The sequence below is a fragment of the Homo sapiens genome, chromosome 1, assembly GCF_000001405.40.
Source record: "Homo sapiens chromosome 1, GRCh38.p14 Primary Assembly".
NCBI classification, from domain to species: Eukaryota; Metazoa; Chordata; class Mammalia; order Primates; family Hominidae; genus Homo; species Homo sapiens.
In genome coordinates this window covers 143,286,963-143,309,221 of record NC_000001.11, presented here as the reverse complement: position 1 = coordinate 143,309,221, position 22,259 = coordinate 143,286,963, and the positions used below count along the sequence as shown (strand labels likewise).

At 33.5% G+C, this 22,259-nt stretch overlaps 1 long non-coding RNA gene across 3 annotated transcripts; it reads left to right on the top strand.

Annotated features, from left to right (window-relative positions):
- The first annotated feature begins 265 nt into the window (after nucleotides 1-265).
- On the top strand, nucleotides 266-9,704 carry LOC101929814 (uncharacterized). 3 transcript variants are annotated; one of them, XR_426807.5, is made up of 5 exons: nucleotides 266-1,140; nucleotides 2,762-2,880; nucleotides 5,010-5,086; nucleotides 6,386-6,476; nucleotides 6,893-9,704. It is a non-coding gene; the product is annotated as an uncharacterized LOC101929814 (long non-coding RNA). The 3 variants fall into 3 exon arrangements; XR_001738205.2 differs by having other exon boundaries at nucleotides 6,389-6,476; nucleotides 6,893-8,480; XR_001738206.2 differs by lacking the exon at nucleotides 5,010-5,086 and having other exon boundaries at nucleotides 6,389-6,476; nucleotides 6,893-8,480.
- Nucleotides 9,705-22,259: the final 12,555 nt, after the last annotated feature.

Genomic DNA, 22,259 nt, shown 5'->3' with positions numbered 1-22,259 from the left:
TACTATAAAATATTTAAAAATTTTTTCCACCCTAACATTTAGAATATTCTCACATTTGTGGTTAAAACCTATTGTGATTGTTCTTAGAATTTAGATAAGAAATGTCCCAGAAAGATTGAAGAGAAGCACTTTAGTCAATTTTTAGTTGTTGAAGCATGAAGAAATGGCATTTCATTGACATTTTAAAAATTATTCAGATTCCCTCTTTGAATTCAAGAGTTTCAAAGATGTCTTATTTTAAAATACCAAAATAGGAATAGAATATGAAGGGCTGGTTATGAGTAATGTGATACAATTTTATGAGATGATGAGATTACAATAACAATACCTCCTCTCATAGAATAGCCAGCAAGTCTCCACTAAATAACAGTGCCTTGATTTTATAGATGTTTCATCATGGATATTGAGTTAATGTGAACCATTTGTAGACACAGGAGTTTATTAAAGACTTATATAATATCTTTCAAGTATTTAGAATAGTGTTGAAATTAAGCCTGCATCCCCACGATTTTCAGCGGTGCTGATGCCTAATAAACTCAACCCCTTGCATGCCAAAATTGGCTTAAAGCCCATCTGTTACCCAAGCTACACTTCAAGCATCGAGGTTCAAAAATGTGATTTTGAATATGCAAGAGTTTGAGGAATTCACTACTCACACTTTCTTGAACAGTCTATCCAAGTGCATCAAGCAAAATGTGAGTAAAGAAATTTTGAGCAAAGGATTGATAGTAATGTTGAATACATTTAATAGTAGATCAAAGATTAAAAGGTGAAAGTGAGGGTGAGAAGAGTGTATGAATGCTTTGTGTTCTGACAAAGAGAATGTAGCACCCAGGTCCTACCTGCTTGGATGCATTGCCAGTGCCCACGGTAGGCCATTTTATCCAGGTTTTTAGGTATTGTCTTATTTTGTTTGTTTTTTTTCTTTTCAGGAGTCTTAGTCCAAGACCAATAACTCCGTAACTGGTAGATTTGGAAGACTTTAATAGTGCTTAACATTTTGTACATAGCTTTATAACAGTTTTCTTTTTCTTTTTTTCTGAGAGATTCTTTTCAATATACCCCATCATGGTTGAACTCAAAAATCATTGCTTATTTAAAATCTACAACTGCTGACGTTTTGTAACGTTCGCATTCCAGGTAATTGCTTTTTTGTGCATTTTCTGTATTTTTCTCCATCAGTCTACCTAGATATTTGTTAGATTTAATATTTTAATATTTTTCTGAAAAAGTGAGCTTTTGCATTTTTAAATATATACCCAGTTGCTTTAATTCTGCTTTTTCGTGTACTATTTCCTCGTTTTTTTCTTTCTTGTTTTTTGTTTTTTTTTTTTTCTGACACGGAGTCTTGCTCTGTCGCCCAAGCTGGAGTGCAGTCGCGTGATCTCTACTCACTGCAACTTCCAGCCCCCACGTTCAAGCAATTCTCCCACCTCAGCCTCCCGAGTAGCTGGGGTTACAGATGCATGCCACCATGCCAGGCTAATTTTTGTATATTTAGTAGAGAGTGGGTTTCACCATGTTAGACCAGGCTGGTCTCGAACTCCTGACCTCAGGTGACCCACCTGCCTCGGCCTCCCAAAGTGCTGGGATTACAGGCGTGAACAATGGCGCCTGGCTATCTCCTTCATTCTTTATGTTTATTTTACTGCTTTTATCTCTCTCTCTCTCACTGTTTCTCTCCTTCTCACATTCACTTTGCAGTTGTCAAATAGCCCAGGTGATGTTACAGATTTACTCCTTATAAAAGGAGGCATTACACATTACACATGCATCTTAGTGGCCTCACAAAAGTGTTTGGTTTATTTGTAGTGACTATTCACCTTTAAAATATTTCAATATTCAATAAAATGGCTTCCAACCAATATTATTACACTTATGTTTCTAACTTTCGTTTTTGTATTGATATCTGCCTTCATTGCTGTTTGTTTAGGACATATATTCTGTGTCACGTTATTTCCGTGAAAATTGTTTGAATTTGTGGTATGGTCTAGAAAATGTTAATTTTTGTAAGTATTCTGTATGAACATGAAAATAACATGAATTATAATATTCAAGTTCCTTATATAATATTTGCCCGTTTTAAAATCCACTAGCTTCTTTTAAAACTTACTCTTTTAATTTTTTCTTTTATCTATTACTGAAAGACGTGTGTTTGAAATGTCTATAATATTTGGGGGCTTATCCATTTCTACTTACTTTCTGATATTTTTGCTTTATATAATTTGACTCTCTCTCTAAATACGTGTGTGTCTGTGTGTGTGAGAGAGAGTGTGTGGTTTGTGTGTATATATATGTATGTATCAGGCTAATACACATTGAAGTCATCACATCTTCTTAATAACTTAAAACTTTTATCACACTGGTTACACTAACTTATTTTAATAAATGTTTCTAACTTACATTCTATTTGGTCTACATAGCAACTTTTTAAAAAATTATATTCATGTAGTATGTTTGTATGTATATCATATATACACAGTATCTGTATTGTTTGAACTTCAAAGTTTCTGTAAATTTATATATTAGTTGTGTCTCTTGTAACTATGATAGAGACGGATGTTTTAAATTTTGCCAATCTTTGTATTTTAACAAAAACATTGTCTACTTAGGTTTAAGTTAATCTTTGATCATTTATACTTAATTTTGTATTAGTAATTTGTTGTGTATATATATATATATATATAATGTCTCATTTTCTCCTATCACTTTCTGTCTTCTTGTTTTAAAATTATGACTTTTATTTTTATTGTTTTCATAGATACAACAGAGAAATGCATAATGTCCAGTCAATTTATTAAAGTTCCAAAGTCGGTCGCGCGCAGTGGCTCACGCCTGTAATCTCAACACTTCGGGAGGCCGAGGCGTGTGGATCACGAGGTCAGGAGTTGGAGACTAGCCTGATCAACATGGTGAAACCCCGTCTCTACTAAAAATACAAAAATTAGCCAGGCAGGGTGGCACGCGGCTGTAATCCCCGCTACTCAGGAGGCTGAGGCAGGAGAATTGCTTGAACCTGGGAGGCAGAGGTTGCAGTGAGCAGAGATGACGCCACCATACTCCAGCCTGGGAGAAAGGGTGAATGAGACTCCTTCTCAAAAAAAAAAAAAAAAAAGAGTTGCAAAGTCATATCTTTCTGCTCTTGTCAGACAATTAAGGGGTCTTTGAATACTTCAGCCCTAATAATTTGCTTCCTAACATACATATTGCAGTGCTTATCTAATTTTAAATATTCTTTTGTTTCAACACCTAATTTTCTATTTTGATCTATCTTTATGTTTACAATATATTTTGCTCTGTGTTCATTCTTTGATTTCAGAACTTCAATCTTTCTGAAGCGTGTTTTCAGAGTTTCCTTTGAGTTTCTTTAGTGGAATTCTGCTGGTGGTATTTTGTTTTTTGTCTCTAAATATGTGATTTAGCCATAGGTTGATGAATATTTTTCTTGGTTGAGAATTTCAGAATGGCATTATTATTCTTAACAAATAATATTGTTTATTTTACCTTTCATGCTTTCAGATTTCAATATGATTAAAGGTAATTTGATTTTTCTAGTGCTAATTGAAATATTTTTCCCTTCCTGATTGTTTACTATTTCTCTAGGAGATATGTAGATGTAGGTTTATCTCCATCGTAGCTTGCTTAGCATGCATAGAAGTTTTGAATATGTGGATTAGTGTCTTACAGAACTCTAGAGAACTTTCAGCCAAAATACCATCACATATTGTCCCTTCCCCGTTCCCTTCCTCTATGAGAACACTCACTAAACACATGCTACACTTTCTCACTGTATCTTCCATGTCTCTTCATGATTCTGTCCACATTGTGCCTTTTTTTAAATTTTCTGTAATGCATTCTGAAATATTTATGAGCTCTCACCATGGCCATGTCTAATCTGATGAGTTCATTTTTGAGTTTTTAATTTAAAATACTATATACAAACTACTTTTCAAATTTACTACATCAACTTTTTAGTCTCCTAAAAATATATTCCTTTTTTTAAATTTTTTGAAAGCAAATGTGCTTTATAATCTAACAGTGATATTTCTACTAATGAACCTCTGTGGATCTGTTTGTACTCTTTTTCTGCTTTCCTTTCAAATGGTGGAATATCATTTCCTTGCGTACTTAGATGCCTTTGAATGACAAAGATTTATTTTTCTCTGAAAATTATTATTGTGCACTTTTGCATATTAGTAAGAAGAAAATTTGCCAAAGAGAATTTGAATTTTTTGTGAGTCTACTAAAGGCACCACCATTCTGGGACCACATTATATTAATTCTTGGCCTAAAGGTGTTTGGACGTATGTTTGGACAGCACATTTAAACAATTTTTAAATTAATTGCTGTAAATCATTAATGATTGAGTTTCTTTAAATCTGTCCAATCTCAAGTCATTTTTATTTGCCATTTCCAGGGAATGTGAAATGAGACTAATTTACCTCTGATTCTTCTTTATACTGAGGAGATAAATTTTGGTGCTAGCTTTAGGGAAGAGCTCCTGTGTGATGCCCTATCTTGGGAAACACTATGTATTTCTTTACTGTCCTATGTGATGTATGACCATAGGAATCTGCACTCATTCATTTTGCTACATGTCCGTAGGGCAAAATCAGTATCAGTGTTTAGGTGTATTTTGTCTGCTCCCTGCATTCCCATGGTTTTGACCTTATCTTTTACTTTTTTTTGTGAACATACCAATGCTTCAATTTTTTTCCAGTAATATAATCAACCATACTATAAGAGAAAAATTTCGATAAAACACAAATTTCATGTTTTCCTACTCTAATTGGCTTTTACGTAAAAATACAGGTAAAATTTATTTGTGCTTTTTTGCTATTTCTGTTTTGCTATTTTCTGTTTGTCTATGTCTTCACCACATAGACACAATTAGGGAATTTTGTACACTCTTGTGCCAACTGCTTTGATAGTAACAAAATGTATTTCTCGAACTCCTAGGTATAAAACTCAAGTATCCACTATTTAAATTCTTTTTTGCTCACTTCTAGTATGTTTCCAGTCTCAATAGAAATCGATGCCAATCCAGAAATACAAGCATTATTCTAATACTTCTCACACATTACTGGTATGGATGACATTTTCTAGATCTCCTTAAATACTATCATTTTTCACTACTTGTATCTTAACTGTTAAGTTCAACATTTTCTGTAATATTAATATATTGTGAAAATTTCCTTTCTTTCTTATTTGTCCCAGGTTCAATGTTTTGCAGTCTCTACCTCACCCTGTGAAGCATAAACATTGTACATGCTGTACAAATAATACATCGTTCATGTACTTAGAGATTGCACAATTTTTATTTGGTTGACAATAGCTAATGTTTTCTTCTTCATTTTCTATTTCCTGATTTTTCTTTATTTAGTATATACTACACTGCCATAAAAATAAGAACGTTTTACAAACTAAAGCAAAAGGAACCCTAGGAATAAAATGCACAAATAAAATATATAAACATACGTTTAGGTGTACCACGTACACTTGTAATTTATTTAGACTTTTAATTTTAGTACAATTTTAATTAAAGTCTGTGTATTATCTGTCATCGTCTTAGTATTTTTTATATAACAAATTGTGTAAATCAAAAAGTATCAATGTCATTGTAAACTATCTTGGCAGAGGTTGATCTCCAAGGAATAATTTCTCTCCTAAATTATGCCAATCCAAATTTCACTCTACCGTCATTCTTTTCATCAGTTTCAGAGGAATAATAAATTTCAAAATTGTTCAAGGTACTTCTTTTAGTTCAAGTAACATTTGACAGGTGTAAAACTGTAGACAGACTGATACAAACGTATTCTAATTGACTCAAAATTATATGGGACCTATTTTAAAATCTAGATTTTAAAATGTCGTGTCAACATACACATGTTCTCCTTGTGAAATAATTGTTTTTTATTCTCTGGATAGAATAATTTAATCTTTAAACCTTCCATTCACTCTTAGAAACAATATATTACATAAGGATATGCTTATAAAAATAATTCCCAACTAGCTTTTCAGTTCAGAAATATATGTGAAGAATCATCAAACATCTAATGGATTTCAAGGAGAAATGGGTTAGTAATTTATTCCATATGTCTCAATTTTTCCTAGACTCAAGGCTTCCTTTAAAATAATTGTAGGCATTTAAGAAACCATGCAAACTAAAAAGAAGAAACTGTGACGCTGCCGCTTAGGCTTTTTAAGTCTTTGGACATGATTCAATATATTTTTTAAATTGTATCTTAATTAGACATTGTGAGTTCACCATCTTCCTGTCAATACAGCATCCAAGCTGATTATCATAGATTACAAGTTCAACTATCAACTGTGTTCTGAGAGTCTAAAAAAATAAATGAACGTATTTGTTTGGGTATTCTTAAAGCAGGAGTGAGGACACAGCGAAAGTGAGACAAGGAAAAGAGAACAAAATAAAACAGGAAAGACAGAAAAGCCAATACCACACGTGTTAAGAGGTAAGTTCCTGTGTTAGATATCTGGGCTTAATTTTATGGGAAGCTATGTGGAGCATGCCTCAGAATTACATCACTGAATCCAGGGAGATTCTTCTTAGTTACCCTCACCTTTTCTTCCCACTTCATGCCCAGTAACAAGCTCCCGTGCTGCTAGAGAAAGTCCTCAGCTAGAAACTGGTGCAAATTCTGGAGATGAGACCTTGTAGAGTGTTAAGAATGGTTTTCTTCCCAGCAGCTACAGCTAAGGAATAGGGGCTGGGCTATGAATACATCTGCTACAAACCAATAAAGCCCTTATGCTCCTTTTGGTGATCGACAATGTATTTAAAAATATTAGATGATCAAGAAGGGCTGCAGAAAGGAGGAAACAGAAACAAACAGCACACCTCTTGGTTTATTTTTTTTCATTTCATCAGTTTCAAGGAAAATATGTTGGGAGTTCCTGGCATAGAGAATGTCACAAAGACATGTTTTCAATAGTAGTGCTATCCCGAGGGCAGAGAAGACCCAGAGAAAGCCCAAGTGGCTGCTGGAACAAAATCAGACACCGTGCCACCTGTCCACACTCCTTGGCTCTGCCATCATGCTGAAGATCGCTTTAAAGGACTGGCTTCCCTCCCCCCAAAATTAAAAGAGCACAGACTGAGAAACTGAATGTGGGAGACAGCAGTGGATTATGCTGTTCTCAGGGGTCACCTCAGGTTTGGAAGCATTCTTTCAAATTAACCCATCTCAGGCCATCTGCAGAGAAGAAAGGTGGTACCTAACTTTTTTTCTTGTCGGCATTTGGTAGGGGTGTTTTATTGACCAAATATGTTCCCACAACCTCGTTTTTTGTGACTAACTAAATATAGTAGAGTTTTAAATTTTATCATCAAAATCTATAGACAATTTTTGATGAAAATAGACTCCATCTCTATGTCCTGCTTTTCTTCTTCTTATTAATTACATTGCTGTATAAAAGAACAAGACTTCAGCATCAAGAATATCTTGTCTCTTGGCATTGAATTTATACAAGGTGCTCTTTCTTTAATGCTGTCTCAAAGGACATATTTTTACTCATTAAAAAGGAAGATCGGAATCTAGTTGTATGCACTGCTCCAACATATTAATAATTAAAATTAGGAGGTAAATGTGGTCAAAGCTATAGAAAGACGGAGATGTCATTTATATGGATTACTCTATAGCACTCTACAAACAGAAATTGTTAAATAATAGTTTATATAAATATTTTGTAGCATTTCAAATATTTGAGTGCTTGAAGTTTCTCCTCTTCTATAGTTCAGATTATCAATTTGAAGACTTACTCCGCTAGTTAATATGTTTTTAGTCTCGTTTGAGTATTATATAAAAGCAATTTTCAGTTAAATGTGTTCCGCTTACATAAAACGTTACAAATTATTGAGGATTTAATTACTTATTCATGTTCCTGTAATGTCTTTAGAAGATTTTCTTATTATTACCTATCAATATATGTATGCTTTGTCAAAGAAAAATCAAACATATATATCATTGAAATTGAAACTTTTTAAAAGTACTTATTAATTCTATTGAAAAACCACATCCATAGGAACAATTACAATATAATATTGTGAACATGTAAACATATACCCTATGTCTATTTTATGTATAAGCATGTATGATTAAAAATATAGTGAAGAATTTTTAAACCTAGTATTATAAAGTAAAAATTAGTTAACTTCCGATGATTATTTGTTAATTAAGATAAAATTATTTTGATTTGGGTGATTTTAAATAAAGAAAAATATTAAATTACATGACAAAAATTCTTTATAAAATGTTTATGATTTTTACATTGGTTTTATCACTTTTCCCACTATTTTATTTTAAGATGACCTGCCTTGTTTAAAACACTGTATTCATCTTAGTTAAATTAGATTCCATTTGTAAAATAATTAACAAATGATTTGCTCTATTGTACAGTGCGGTTATAAACTGAGTCAGTATCTCAAGATTTGATCCCCATTATCATCATCTGTGGCCCTATTTGTTTTATAAATGTGTTGTCTTTTTCCATGCCTGTCACATCTCTATTGCTCTTTCATTTTTCTCTTTGTCCCTTATAGGGAGCATTGCCTATCTCTAGATTAAGCAAAAGTTGCATCATAAAAAAGCACAATAACCTGCTCAATCTTTCTCACACAGAGAAATGTTTGTTAAGTAATTAAAGTGTAGATGATGATACAAAGAGCTTGATTAAATTAGATGCCAAAGTACCCTTGTGATTCAGAATATGAATGGTATTTAATTTCTTTGAAATCATTAATTGCTGAGTGAGATTAATTAATGCCAATATTCCAGAAGATGTTCTACTTAGTGAAATGTATACAACGAAAAGCACAATAACCTGCTCAATCTTTCTCACACAAAGAAATGTTTGTTAAGTAATTAAACTGTAGATGATGATACAAAGAGCTTGATTAAATTAGGTGCCAAAGTACCCTTGTGATTCAGAATATGAATGGTATTTAATTTCTTTGAAATCATTAATTGCTGAGTGAGATTAATTAATGCCAATATTCCAGAAGATGTTCCAGTCAGTGAAATGTATACAACGTGCAAAAGATTCAGAACTCTGAAGGGCAACATTATTCTATAATTAAGAATTAAGAATTAATTCACATTAATTACTGGGGAGAAATACTTTTTAAGAATTAATGACTGAGAAAATGTTTTTATTTTTTATTTAGAAAATTATTTTGTGCATGAGCATTACCGCAAGTTTTGCAAGAAACATAAATTTAAAGAAACAATTATGTGCACAAGATGAATTTAATAACATCTTGATATATTCCACGATTGCGGTTTTATTTGGTAAATCTTTCAAGGCACACCATTTAAAGAGAATAAATGAGTCTTGGAAATCTTGTAGGTAAGGGTAAATATTAGGATGCATCCAGTTACATTTACACACACATACAGTTACATTTACACACACATACACGCATACAGACTGAGTCACGTGTGTGTATATATATATATGAATTTACCAATTGATGTTAACTAATATTTATAAGAGCCAGTTGGATTGATATATATTGTTGAACCTGAAAAATATTTATTATATACATGTTTAAAATACACACAGAAATAAATAGCAATTGCACTAGGCATTTGAAACTGTACTAAAATATAAGCTGTGAACATTTTGTGATCATTACAAATTCTTACACTGAATAAATATTTTTATTTTTACAATATTAATATGTTTGATACCTGTGTATATTTTTTTACAATGTGTTATTTTATTTTTGTCATAGAGTCATGTCATGCATAATAACATTTTAGTCAAAGATGGATTACATATACAAAAGTGGTCCCATGAGATTATAATAGATATTTTTACATACTTTTCTACGTTTAATTATGTTTAGATACATAACCTCTTACCACTGTGTTCTTATTGCCTGCAGTATTCAGTACAGTAATGTAGTGCACAGATTTGTAGCCTGGGAGAAAGAGGCTATACCATATAACCTAAACGTGGTAGGCTGTACAATCTAGGTGTTTGTAATACTCTCTGTGATGTTTGCAAAATGGTAAAATTGCCTACGAATACATCTGTTAAAACGTATCCCTATCATTCAGTGATGTGTGACTGTACTAAAATGCTCAATGTAAGTTTCAATGCCCTCCATAAAATTGTTGTACTGTGAAATACAAATCTCTCACCCATGGCCTGAATATGTTTGCAAACTAAGCAGATCATGGGAAGGAGAATGTGCTGGCACCGCTGGGATGATTTTCTCACTCTACATGAATAATATCTACAGACTTCGTGAATATGAGCCACTTGCATAGAGTTAAAGTAGGCATCTCTTTGCTGGGAAAATTATCAAATGGGAGTATGAAGTGTTTTTACAAGATACTCGTTTGTTTGTAGCTGGTAGGCCTACAGTGGCTCTTGGTAATGGTTGAGGTTGCTAAGATTTGGTGGAAGAAGGCAAAATGAAATGGCCACTTATATGGTATATGGTATATGGATCACTTATTTCTGTTGAGTTACAAACTCAGCTGGCTATTTCTCCTATGTTAGTTATTTGGAGAAAAAAAAACGTGATGGTAATTTTGGGGTAACAAATACAATATTTGATGAAAGCAAATTTATTGAGGGTTAGACAAACTACAAGATACTTTAGGCTACAAAGTCAACACGAGAGTTCTGGCCCAAATTGTGCAGAGTTTGCGTCCAGCTGCACAGTTCAAAGGAAGAGGCCATGTAAGAAGATTCTCACTTCTGACACCAACTGCCAGTTCAGGGATTTCCCCTGAACACCCTCAGTTTCAAGAATTTACTAGAAAGACTCACAGAACTCATTGAATGCCATTGTACTCATGGTTTATAATAGAGAAAGGGTAGAAATTAGGACCAATAGAAGAGACATATCATATAAGGTGGAATCTAGGAGATTTTGAAGGTTAAGTTTCCATTGTCTTCAGGACATATTACCTGTCATTGTTGTACAGCAACAAACATGGAGTACTACCAACCTGGGGAGCTCACCTGATGCTAAGAAGACACTATTTACAAAATGAAAAGACAAATGAAAGGATGAGATAAGATGACGTTCCACATTAAGGCACTGGAACGAATAGCAAACTAAACCTAAAGCAAGCAGAAGGAAGAAAATTAAAATTAGAGAAATTAATAATTTATAATAATAATATTTGTTAGTGTTGAATAATTGATATTAATTCTTGACTAGCTTTTTTAAAAAAGAGAAATATTCACTTTCCAATTTATTCTGTGGGGCCAGTGTTACTTTGATACAAAAATTAGTCCAAATAGCATAGAAAAATAAAACTATTATAAGTATAAATGCAAAATTCCTTAAAAAATACTAACAAATCAGATCTAGCAACATATAAAAGAATTATACACTATGACAAAGTGAAATTTATACAAGTAATCCCAGGTTGGTTTAACAGCCCAAAATCCATTAAGGTAATACATCTTATCCATAGAATAAGAAAAGAGAATTCATGATCATCTCGATAGATTCGGAAAACACATTTAACAGAATCCAAATGCTTTAATGATTAAAAATAAAAATAAAAACTCAATGAACCAGGAATAGAGAACTTTCTACACCAGATACATGGCACCTGTGAAAAGCCAACAGCAAGCAGGCAACTTAATGGTAAAGGATGCTTTCCCGCTATGGTCAGAGATAAGAATAGGATATATACTTTGACCTCTTCTAGTCAACACTGTACTAAAGATTTTATGCAGGGCAAATCGGCAACTAAAATAATAAGAGTCACCCATATTGAACAGGAAGAAATAAAACTTTATTTGAAAATAACATTGTTGTATATAGAAAATTTTAAGGAATCCACCGAACGATAGAACTCGTAAATTATTTCAGCAATATTACAGCAGACAAGGTAAATGTACAAAAATCAATTACACACATCTTCAATGAAAACCCCAAAATGAATTTAAGAAAACACTTCAATTTAAAATAGCATAAAAAAAGAAACATTAATTAATTTGGAAAATGTGATACAAGATTTTACTCTGAAAATTAAAAATTATTGTTTAAAGAATATTTAAATAATTAGTAAACACCTTACACCCATGAATTGGACGATTTGATATTGTAGTACTTTACAATTTGAACTACAGATTTGATGAAATCCCTGCAAGTATCCCAACAGACTTGTGTCTAGAAACTGACAAGCTGATTCTAAAATACACATGAAATTGTAAGGGTCTCAAAATAGCCAAAATAATCTTGAAGAAAGAAAACATATTAGGATAATTCACACCCCATGCTCCAAACCTTACTGCAAAGTATCAGTAATCAAGACAACACAATATTGATGAAGGAAAAATATATAGATTGATGGAAGAGAATTGAGAGTCCATATATAAAACTATGTGTCTACAGTCAATGGATTCTTAAAGTGGTGCCATGTGCAATTCAATGAGGAAGAGACAGTCTTTGAACACACTGGGTCAACAACGTACACGTGGATCACCACTTGCAAAATAATAAATTAGAACCCTTACCCCAAAGCATACAAAAATATTAACTCAAATGAATTAAAGACACACATGCAAGAGGTAGAATAAAGCATATGGGAAAATCTTCAGGATTTTGGATCTAGCAAAGAAATAGCTGTAACCCCAAAAACATGAGCAACAGAATAAAAATTAGATATTTAAAATTTCTTAAAAATTAAAGACATCGGTGTTTCAGAGGACAACCAAGCAAGTCAAAAGGCAGCTCCAAAATTGTGAGAAGATATTTGAAAAACACGTATCTATATGTCTGTATATATATATGTATCTTGAATATAGAAAAATTGGTTTAACTCCGTCACAAATATCCCAACTCAAAACTGATAAATGATAGGAATAGATGTGTTTCCCAAGAAGATACATGAACGGTCAATAATCCCATAAAAATATACTCAACAGCATCACTCTTCAGGCAACTACAAATCAAAACCACAGTTAGATACTCTATGGCTAGAACTGGCCACTTTGGAAAATAATTTGATGGCTTCTAAATATATGAAACATAGAATTGTCATATGACCCAGAAAGTTATTCCTAGGTATACACCCAGATTATTGGAAAGAGGTGTTCAAACACAAATTGTACACAAGTATTTTTAGCAGCAGTACCTAAAATAGCCAAAGGCTGAACACAACTCAAATGTCAATAAAAATATTATTGGATAAACAAAAGGTTATATCCATGAAATTGAATGTTATACAGTTATAAAAAGAAATAAAGTACCAATACGTACATGAACCTTGATAGCATTATGCCAACTGAACGAAGCCGGGCAGAAAAGGCCACCTATTGTACGATTCTATTTAGATGAAAACAGAATAGGAAAATCTATAGAGACAGAAAACAGATTTGTGGTTGCTTAGGATTGAGTAGGGGATGGGTGCATAGGAGGTTAACAGCTAGGGAAGGTGGGGTTTCTTTTTGAAGTGATGAAAATGCTCTAAAATTCATTGTGATGGTGGCTCCACTTATCTGTGCATATACTAAAAGCCACTGACTTGTAGACATTAATGTGTGCACTCTACACTATGTAAATTATATCTCAATAAATCCTTTCAAAAATACACAGAAGAGTAAGGGGTTTTGGAATGTTGCAGCTGGGATGCAGTTTGAAATACTGAATAGGCCTCATCGAGAATGTGAAGTTTCAGTAAAGACCTGAGGAAGTTGAATGAGCTGATCAATGGATATATGGAGGGCTATCTTTCCAAGCCAAAAAATTAACTAGAGTCTTGATCATAAGGCAGCAGCATGTTGGTATGTCCAGAGGACAGTGAGGTGGCCAGGACCACTGGTAAGATCAAGGGTGAAGATATAAAAGAACTTTGGCGGTTAACATGAGGCAGATGATGATGGGCTTGCAGACCATTGTAAGAAATGTTGTTTTTAGTGTACATGAAATGGGGAGACAACTCATTATCCCATTATCAATATTTTAATAAATTGGATCCATGAACCAAATCCAATGAGATTAAATCAATTAATAATAATATGCAAATTTGTATTAAAATTACAAGAATTACTTGCACATTTGAGAACAGGAGAGACATGATTTTTATCAGCAATAATAAACATTATTAATTTTAATTGTGATCAGCTAATTGAGATTAATTGCAATACATCTTGATTTATAATGTGACTGTCAAAAGGAAAATATGATTGTAATCTTATACTACATCTATCAATGTCTTTTATTCATAAGAGTATAGAGTAAGCCCCTAGTTTTCAAAGCCAACCTATGAAGCAGTGACATCTTATGCAAGTTTGCTGCTTTCTGCCACAGTGATCCTTGGTCAGTGGGCACAAATTGTTTACAAAGGCCCCTAGGTCTAGAAATAGTTTGGATCACAATGAACACAGAAACACCTTCATCCCTTCAGAAATACCCATCAATTACTTCCAATACAGAATGAAAAACTGACAAAGGAAATATGTGGATTGTAAAAATGCCAGTTAGCTTGCAACTACATGAAAGAAAAACGCCATTTTTATTACATTAGGTCATTGTCTCACATGAGTTTTGGTATAGCAAAATGTTGAACCAAGGGAAAAGAGAGATGAATTAATGAAGTCTTAAGATATCAAGAATTTGAAAGAAAAGGCAGGTCATCTTTGAAGGTTAGTGACATAGCATTCATCTTCTGTTGTCACCTTTCCCGTCATTCCCTGTATGCCTGACGGACAGGTTACACTCAAGTTCAGAGAACAGCATGCAAAATTACCTACCAATTACTCTTTAGGAAGTGAGCTGCATTTCTAGCCAGACTGAGCTTACGTTTTAGCAGGAAGCATTTTTGAGAAATGTTTATGTTAGACTTTGCTCTTCTTGACAAGGTGAGACATAAACGTCTACTTTATAGACATGAATTGAGATGGGAAGATATTTGGGGGAATCATTTACTCAAACGCTAAATAATAAAGGTACACAAAGGGCAAATTATACTAGATTTCTTTCCCACTTGTTTTCTATGTCTCATGCAATTCACCTTGATTCCCTTCAGTTTCTGTTTAATGTAGAAAGTGGCATTTTCATTATTTTAAGCTTCTAGCACAATGAAAGAATTTCTCTTTTTCATGAACAGGATCATACATGAAAAGGAGGAAGAGTGTCCTATATCATATTTATTGTTCAACAAAACACTGCTCCACGGCTTAAATTCAGTTTAAAAAAGAGAATTTGTTGAACATCTAACACATACATAAAAGGCAGTAAAGACACATGAGAAGAGGGCAGGATATTGAAGTATACAGACTTCAATGCTGAGTTTTATATCTTAGGAAGTTACTCCACCTGACAGAAGCTCAATTTCCCCTGATTTAGGAAGGCGATGCTAATGGGTATTGCATAGGTGTAAGTATAAAAATGTTGTATTTAAGAGAAACCCACAAGCTTGGTATAAGGCAGAAAATAAATAGATGCGACATGAATAAGTAGTTTATTACATTTGTATGCTACCTGCGGACTAGAGGAAGCAAGAAACACAGCCACTATGCTTGATTAGCATTATAGAGATGGTACGATGATGGTTGCCAGAAGCTGGGGGGAGGAGGAAATGGGGAAGTATTGTTTAATGGGTATAGAGTTTCAGTTTTACAAGATGAAACGAATTATGGAGATGGATGGTAGGGACGGCTGGACAATGTTATGACTATATTTAGTACCACTGAACTGTACACTTAAAATGGTTAACAGAGTACATTTTATGTTATGTGTATTTTACCACAATAAAAAAATAAAATACCTTAGGAACATTTTCATGAAAAAGCCCACATAAAATTCATTTTAATGCACGTGTTTATGCATAGCTTTCTATTTTTCTCTTTTCTCTTTATATTCCAAATTCTAATCAGAGAAGGGAATCCCCTCTGTACCTCCAGGATATTCAGTAAAGACCACTGGAGGTCCATGCCCTAGTGACAGTGCTCATTTAACTCCAAATTACAGATGGCTCTAGACTAACTCAACAAAGTTTAAAGAGAAGATTTAAAACAACAGACAAATACTCATCCTGAAGTTACTGAACTGCCTGTCACAACATTATTCAAAGGTAGCCAATAAAATCTAGATATTCAATAGCATAACATCAAAATACCCAAAAAAAAACTCTGAAATGCAAAGAAGCTGTAAGACATATATAATTAAAATATATATTAACAGGATAAAAATAAGTCATTTATAAATGACAGACAAGAAGGAAATTTCAAGATCCTTAAAGTAAATATATTTTATAAATACATATAGATAAATACATATATATGTCAAGGTACTTAAATGAAAATTAAATATAGGAGAAAAATAAAAGTTATAAAATGAAAAATGTGACATATATAGATGAAAAATAAATACTTGAAATAAAAATTCCATGAGATAGAATAAGTAATGGATTTTACCCTAACATCAGAACATTTATAGAACAAATTGGAAGCATTACAAACTAAAGGACAAACGGTAAACTAAAATAAGAAAACCAGAAACTCACTCATAGGTCAGACAATGTGCATCAGTGTAACATACATGTAGTCAATATCTCAAAAAGGATGGGTGGGGTAATCATAGGTGAATAAGGAATGGTACACTCATTCCTGAGGGCACCGAGGAGGGAGGATAGCTTTAGATTTCTAAGGGAGAGTTTTATCCATTCATGAAGGTCCAACCCCATGACCAAACACCTCCCAGTGAGCCCCACCTGCAACATTGAGGATCAAATTTTAACATGAGATTGGAAGGGGCAAGCATTCAAACCATAGCAAGAGTTAAATTTCCTTTTTAAAAAATTCACTGATATGATTCCATTTCGCCATAGATAAAAACTAGTATTTCAGCCTACCATTGAGTGTGCTTATAGCTCACCAAAAGGGCACTCAGTCTCGGGAATACAGATTTGCATAGAGGTATCCTATTGCAGTCAAAGAAAGAGCAATGAGGGATAGAAAAGGTTAGTGATGGAGACACCAGCGCTGCATTTTGCAACAAACAATGTAAAAACTTTATGGATTGGTTCTGTTAACTTACTTCAGTTTACATTCCTCTCAGGTGGGAGAATCGTTGCGTTTTTTCTTAAGATAGAAAAGCAATTCAGGTAATCTGAAATCTCCACAAGAAGGATAAGAAGCACAGCAGAAACTATTCTAGGCAGGAAGTCAATCCTTTCAACTGTCTGTGCTCCATAGAAACAATTGTCTGCACTGGGAGTCATATGAGGTACAGACAACAGCCAGACCTCTGATCCTCTCATTAGTGATTTCAGAAGAAATTACCAGTCAACTGAGTAACTCACTGAGTATAGTAAACATTTGGCACTGAAAGAGGTTAGATGAATAACTATTTGTATCACCATATTCATGAAGCTGGAATATGTTCCATTACTGGTATCACATCCGAATGGAAGATATTAAAAGGTCTCTCATCTTGTAAGATAGATATGAAAGAATATTTTCTGAGAAATGAAATTATTAACACACCTGCGAGGTGCATGGAAGAGAAAAAAAAGAATAATCACCTTGAGATCTTCTCCTTGATAAGAGAACTCACTAAAAACATAAAGAGAAAAATACAAGTTTAAAATAATTAACCAGAAGAAGATGACTCTAGAGATTTTAAATTGCTGATAAGATTTTAATTTGCTCCAAGTTGAAAATAATTATATTGCTTGTGTTTTAAGGCACATAATGAGCAATTATATCACACAGGATAGTTTCAGCAGTAAAATAGTATCCGTTAACAGCTGGAACTCATAAAAGCATAGCACAATGTGAAGATGGAATTTGCTAAAATAAACCATCTGCTGAAAACTGCTATTCTGCAAATTTAAAAATAAAGTTTAAATGTTATTTGTCTTATTTAATAGGTCTGTGAAAAAAATGCGCTATTTGGAAAGCAGCTGCTACCTTAATTCTTTATATTAGACGGCTGGTTACAATAATGCACAGTAAGGTGCTACATAGATATATTGCTAAATTTTCTGCATATACTATGTATTTGGCTTAAATTAATTGAAATTTTATTGTTAAAATAACAAATGTACATTTCAATGTTTTGACACAAATTGCAAATATACCTTTAAAAAGCGTCTTACACTCTAAATATTATTTGTCACCTATATGTTTGTCTTTTCTCTATAGGAAAATTTAAATTTTTCCCTTGAAGCTTTAATTATTTGAGTCTATAAAACAAACTGATAATGTACAAATTAACAGGAAAAAAAGGTTTACAGATATGTGCACAAGTATGCACTTGGAGTTTACATAATATATATATTATATCTATACAAATATTTGTATATTATAAAGAGATATACAAATATATACTCTTTATATAAAAACTCCAGGAAAGGCAAGGTAGTCAACACGCCTATGCTGTCTTGAGGTTGCAGAAAACACAGAGCTGTAGGTTGGTAAATCAGGCTTTGTGGAAGACAGGTGACGACAAGGAAGAAAGAGGAGCCTGGCAGCAGAGGTGGTCTTGTTACATGGATGAAACCTCACAGGGAGCAGCCCTCCTCTTGGGAAGTATAGATAGGAAATGGCTTTTAGAAATGTAAACGTGCCAGGCTCAGTTAATCATTCCTATACCCAGACAAGGGAGTATCTCAGGGAAAGCCTGTCTATATCAATGCAGATTTTCTCTACAAATGCAAATCTCCCCAACAAACACAGCTTTTCAGCTATTCTTGTAGAAGAAGCTATCTCCAGTCTTCCGAGTAGCCATCGTGAAATATGTCAAAAAGCTGGCCAGGCGCATGCCTGTAATCCCAGCACTTTGGGAGGCTGAAGTGGGTAGATCACCTGAAGTCAGGAGTTGGAGACCAGCCTGACCAACATGGTGAAACGCCGTCTCTACTAAATACAAAAAATTAGCCGAGTGTGGTGGTGCATGCCTGTAATCTCAGCTACTTGGGAGGCCGAGCTAGGAGAATTACCTGACCCTGGGAGGCTGAAGTTGCAGTGAGCCAAGATTGTGCCATTGCACTCTAGCCTGGGCAATAAAAACAAAACTCCATCTCAAAAAAATAATGTATTTTAGGGTAATATTTTGAGTATCTTTACCTCCATATGTACAATAAAAATTATTGCGATTTTTAATCTTTTCTGTGGAGAAAACACAGGTGTGATTTCTAGTGTAGCTGAACATCGTTTATTTGACAGTATTGCACTTGTGTGTGGGTGTGTGCGTGTGTAGCTACTTTTTAATTTGGTTCTCACAAAATGATTAGATACTAACAATTAATTCAGTAAAATGTATGTTTTGCAATATTTCTCCATGTTATTATGCTTTAAATTAGTTTAATCATGCCCCTATAATGTGTACATTTTAACCTTTGACTATAGCTCTCAATCTTACTTTGGTTCCTGTATTTGAATTTATGCTAATAAAGTCCCACAGCTTAATAAGATTACATAAATTTTTTGTATAATTTTTACTAGCATTCTGGTGTCATTTTAAATTATGTAATGAAATCCAATTTTAATTTGGATTATTCTTATCTGAGTTAAGGATATAAATTTTTAATTTTCTTATAAATATTACATAATTATTTCTGAACCATACATTGACTAATCTGCCCTTTATATGATGTGTATTATAAGAGCTTGGGATCGTTTCATTTGCAAAGATGAATGCTTGAGAAGTAGATATTTAATCAGAACATTTCAAAATCTACTGGATAACCTAGAATTGAAACATAGCCTATAGGTTGAAAAACTCCTGTAGTGAAGAAAGAAAATAACTAATATACAGTGACAATATAAATATTATAAGTATTTATTTTATTATCACCCTGAAATTTGATAATACAAACATGTAATATCTACATATCATCCATATATCAGGTCATAAAATATCAATACATTCTTCAAAAATTTAGCATAACAGAAAATGCACTCTCTCTCCTTGATGGAATTAAGTTACAAATAAAAGTAAAAATAAGTAGATAAGTAGATGGAAGTAGATGTTTAAAAACAAAGAAAAATATTTGTTTTGGATAACATAAAATCTCAATTGACAATTCCAATATTTCCAGAACTTTGCCTGTCAACTGGTGGAGAGTTTTCCCCAGGAGACATTTGTCAATGTCTAGGGTTATCGTGGGGATGTCAAGACTGGTGGAGGTGTGAAATTTAGAGGTCACAAGAAACACCTAGCATTGCTAGGGCAGCCTCCCACAACAAAGAATCCTCTGGTCCTAAAGGTAAGTAGCACCAAGGTTGAGAAACCATAATCTAGACAGGAAACACTACGTAGCTATTCCAAGTGCTCAGGAAAACACATCAGTGCCCTCGAGGGGAAAAGTGTAAACATTTTAATTGCTGTACATGGTGACACAAATCCATGTTGTTAATCTAAGTGGAAGGGGCTGAAGCACAAAACGTAATTCAAAGAGTTTACTTAAGCCACAGTGAGGACAGCTGCCTGGAAGAAACAGACCCAAGTATCCTTGGATGTGAACTCCCTTTGGAGCTTTGCAACAAGCAGTTTCTTAAAGGTAAAAAAGGGTCCAGAAGTGGGATGATGCAAAGAGGTTTGTCACAAATTCTCATTGGCTTATGGAAATAACATTTATTAGTGACTGGCTATACACGGTTACACTATTATGGGGTGTGGATTATAGTGTCTGGTGTGGCGTTATTGGTTAATTCATAGCTACTGTGGCAACAGCAAGGAGCCTAGATGAACACACAGCTCAAAGAGGAGCAGGACAGAACTGCTGTCTCATTTGAATATCTCTCTGGGCCTGATTATTTCAAAGGACTTGCATTTCTCACATGAAAGTTATTTTCTTTTCTCGATGTCCATAAATGAGAATAAATAGACGTAAAATAGATCTTTTCGAGGATGAAGTAAATGGAATGAAAAACAAAACCCAAGCTGACCAGAAATCATAGAGGGAAGAAAAGGATATAAATATATGTATTTTTCAAAGTGATTTTAAGCTATTAGGAATCAGTTAAATGTTGGGGGAATTTGTCTGATAATGGGCTAAAGGAGAATGTCCCTTTTGCCTTCTGAAGTCTCCCTGAAAATCACTAATAGGAGGCAGATAAATAGTAGAAAAGGCATACAGGTTTCTGCAATGTGTGTACACTGGAACCCTTAGAACGAAGACCCAGTCACACGATGCGTGCAGAAGCTTATCTACCACATGAAGTTTACAGAAAAATGGGGTCTTGGATCACAGGGAAAAGAAAGAAAAAGGTTATGTGAGAAAACGACCCTGGCTAGCAACAGTGGACTTATTACACAGGTGGAATCTCACTGGGAGTAGTCCTCAGAGAGAATAGACAGAAAATGTTTCTTTCAGACCTTTGGAGACCTCAGCCTCTCAGTTAACCTTTCCTAGATCCAGACAAGGGGGCAGACCTCAGAGAAAACCTGGCTGCATCAGGGCAGATTCTCTACCGATGCAAATCTCCCCAAGACAGCTTTGCAGCTAACTTTGCATTTCCAGCCCTTCTCAATAGCCATTTTGAAATATATCAAGGAAATATATTTAGGGGTAAAATATATTAGTTTCCTTCATACAGCTATAAAACATACAGGAATAATTTTTGTCAATGTCTACTACAAATCCAATATAGCAGTAACTATGAAACCCACCAGATATTGATGAAAAAATATGTAGAGTACCTCAATTACAAATGTTGATACTAAAATGCCAAATAAAATACAAATAATATCCAACAATATTTGAAACAATTAGACAAGAAATTGGCAAAAAAAAAAAAATCCACCTTCGGGATGAAAGTGTGTTTCCAAATTTGGTAATCCAGTAATATTAATAATCATATTGATTAGCCCAAATTAAAAATAAATAGGGGATTCTCAGTACATGCTATAATATATTTGTTAAAAGGCAATATTCATGTCTTTAAAGATTTTAAATGCTATAAAGAGTCTGATATTCTATATGCAAACATGTGTATGTCCATTAGAAGAAGAGAGGCCTGATTTTCATATGTTACTACATAGAGATAGAGAAGTGGATACATTAATTTACATATGCATAGAGAAAGCATAAAATAGAAATTGACTATCATATTAAAGGAATTTTAATTCAACAATAAAATAATTCAAGGTAAAATTTTAGAAATTTTTAACAGGTACATTATTAGTATTAGATAATATTTATAATAATTGTGAAAATATTCAGCGCTAAAATAAGATACAATGTCTAAACATCAGTATTAATACTAGTATAAATATTTGCTTGTTTATACAAGGAAAATTCAAGCTCGAC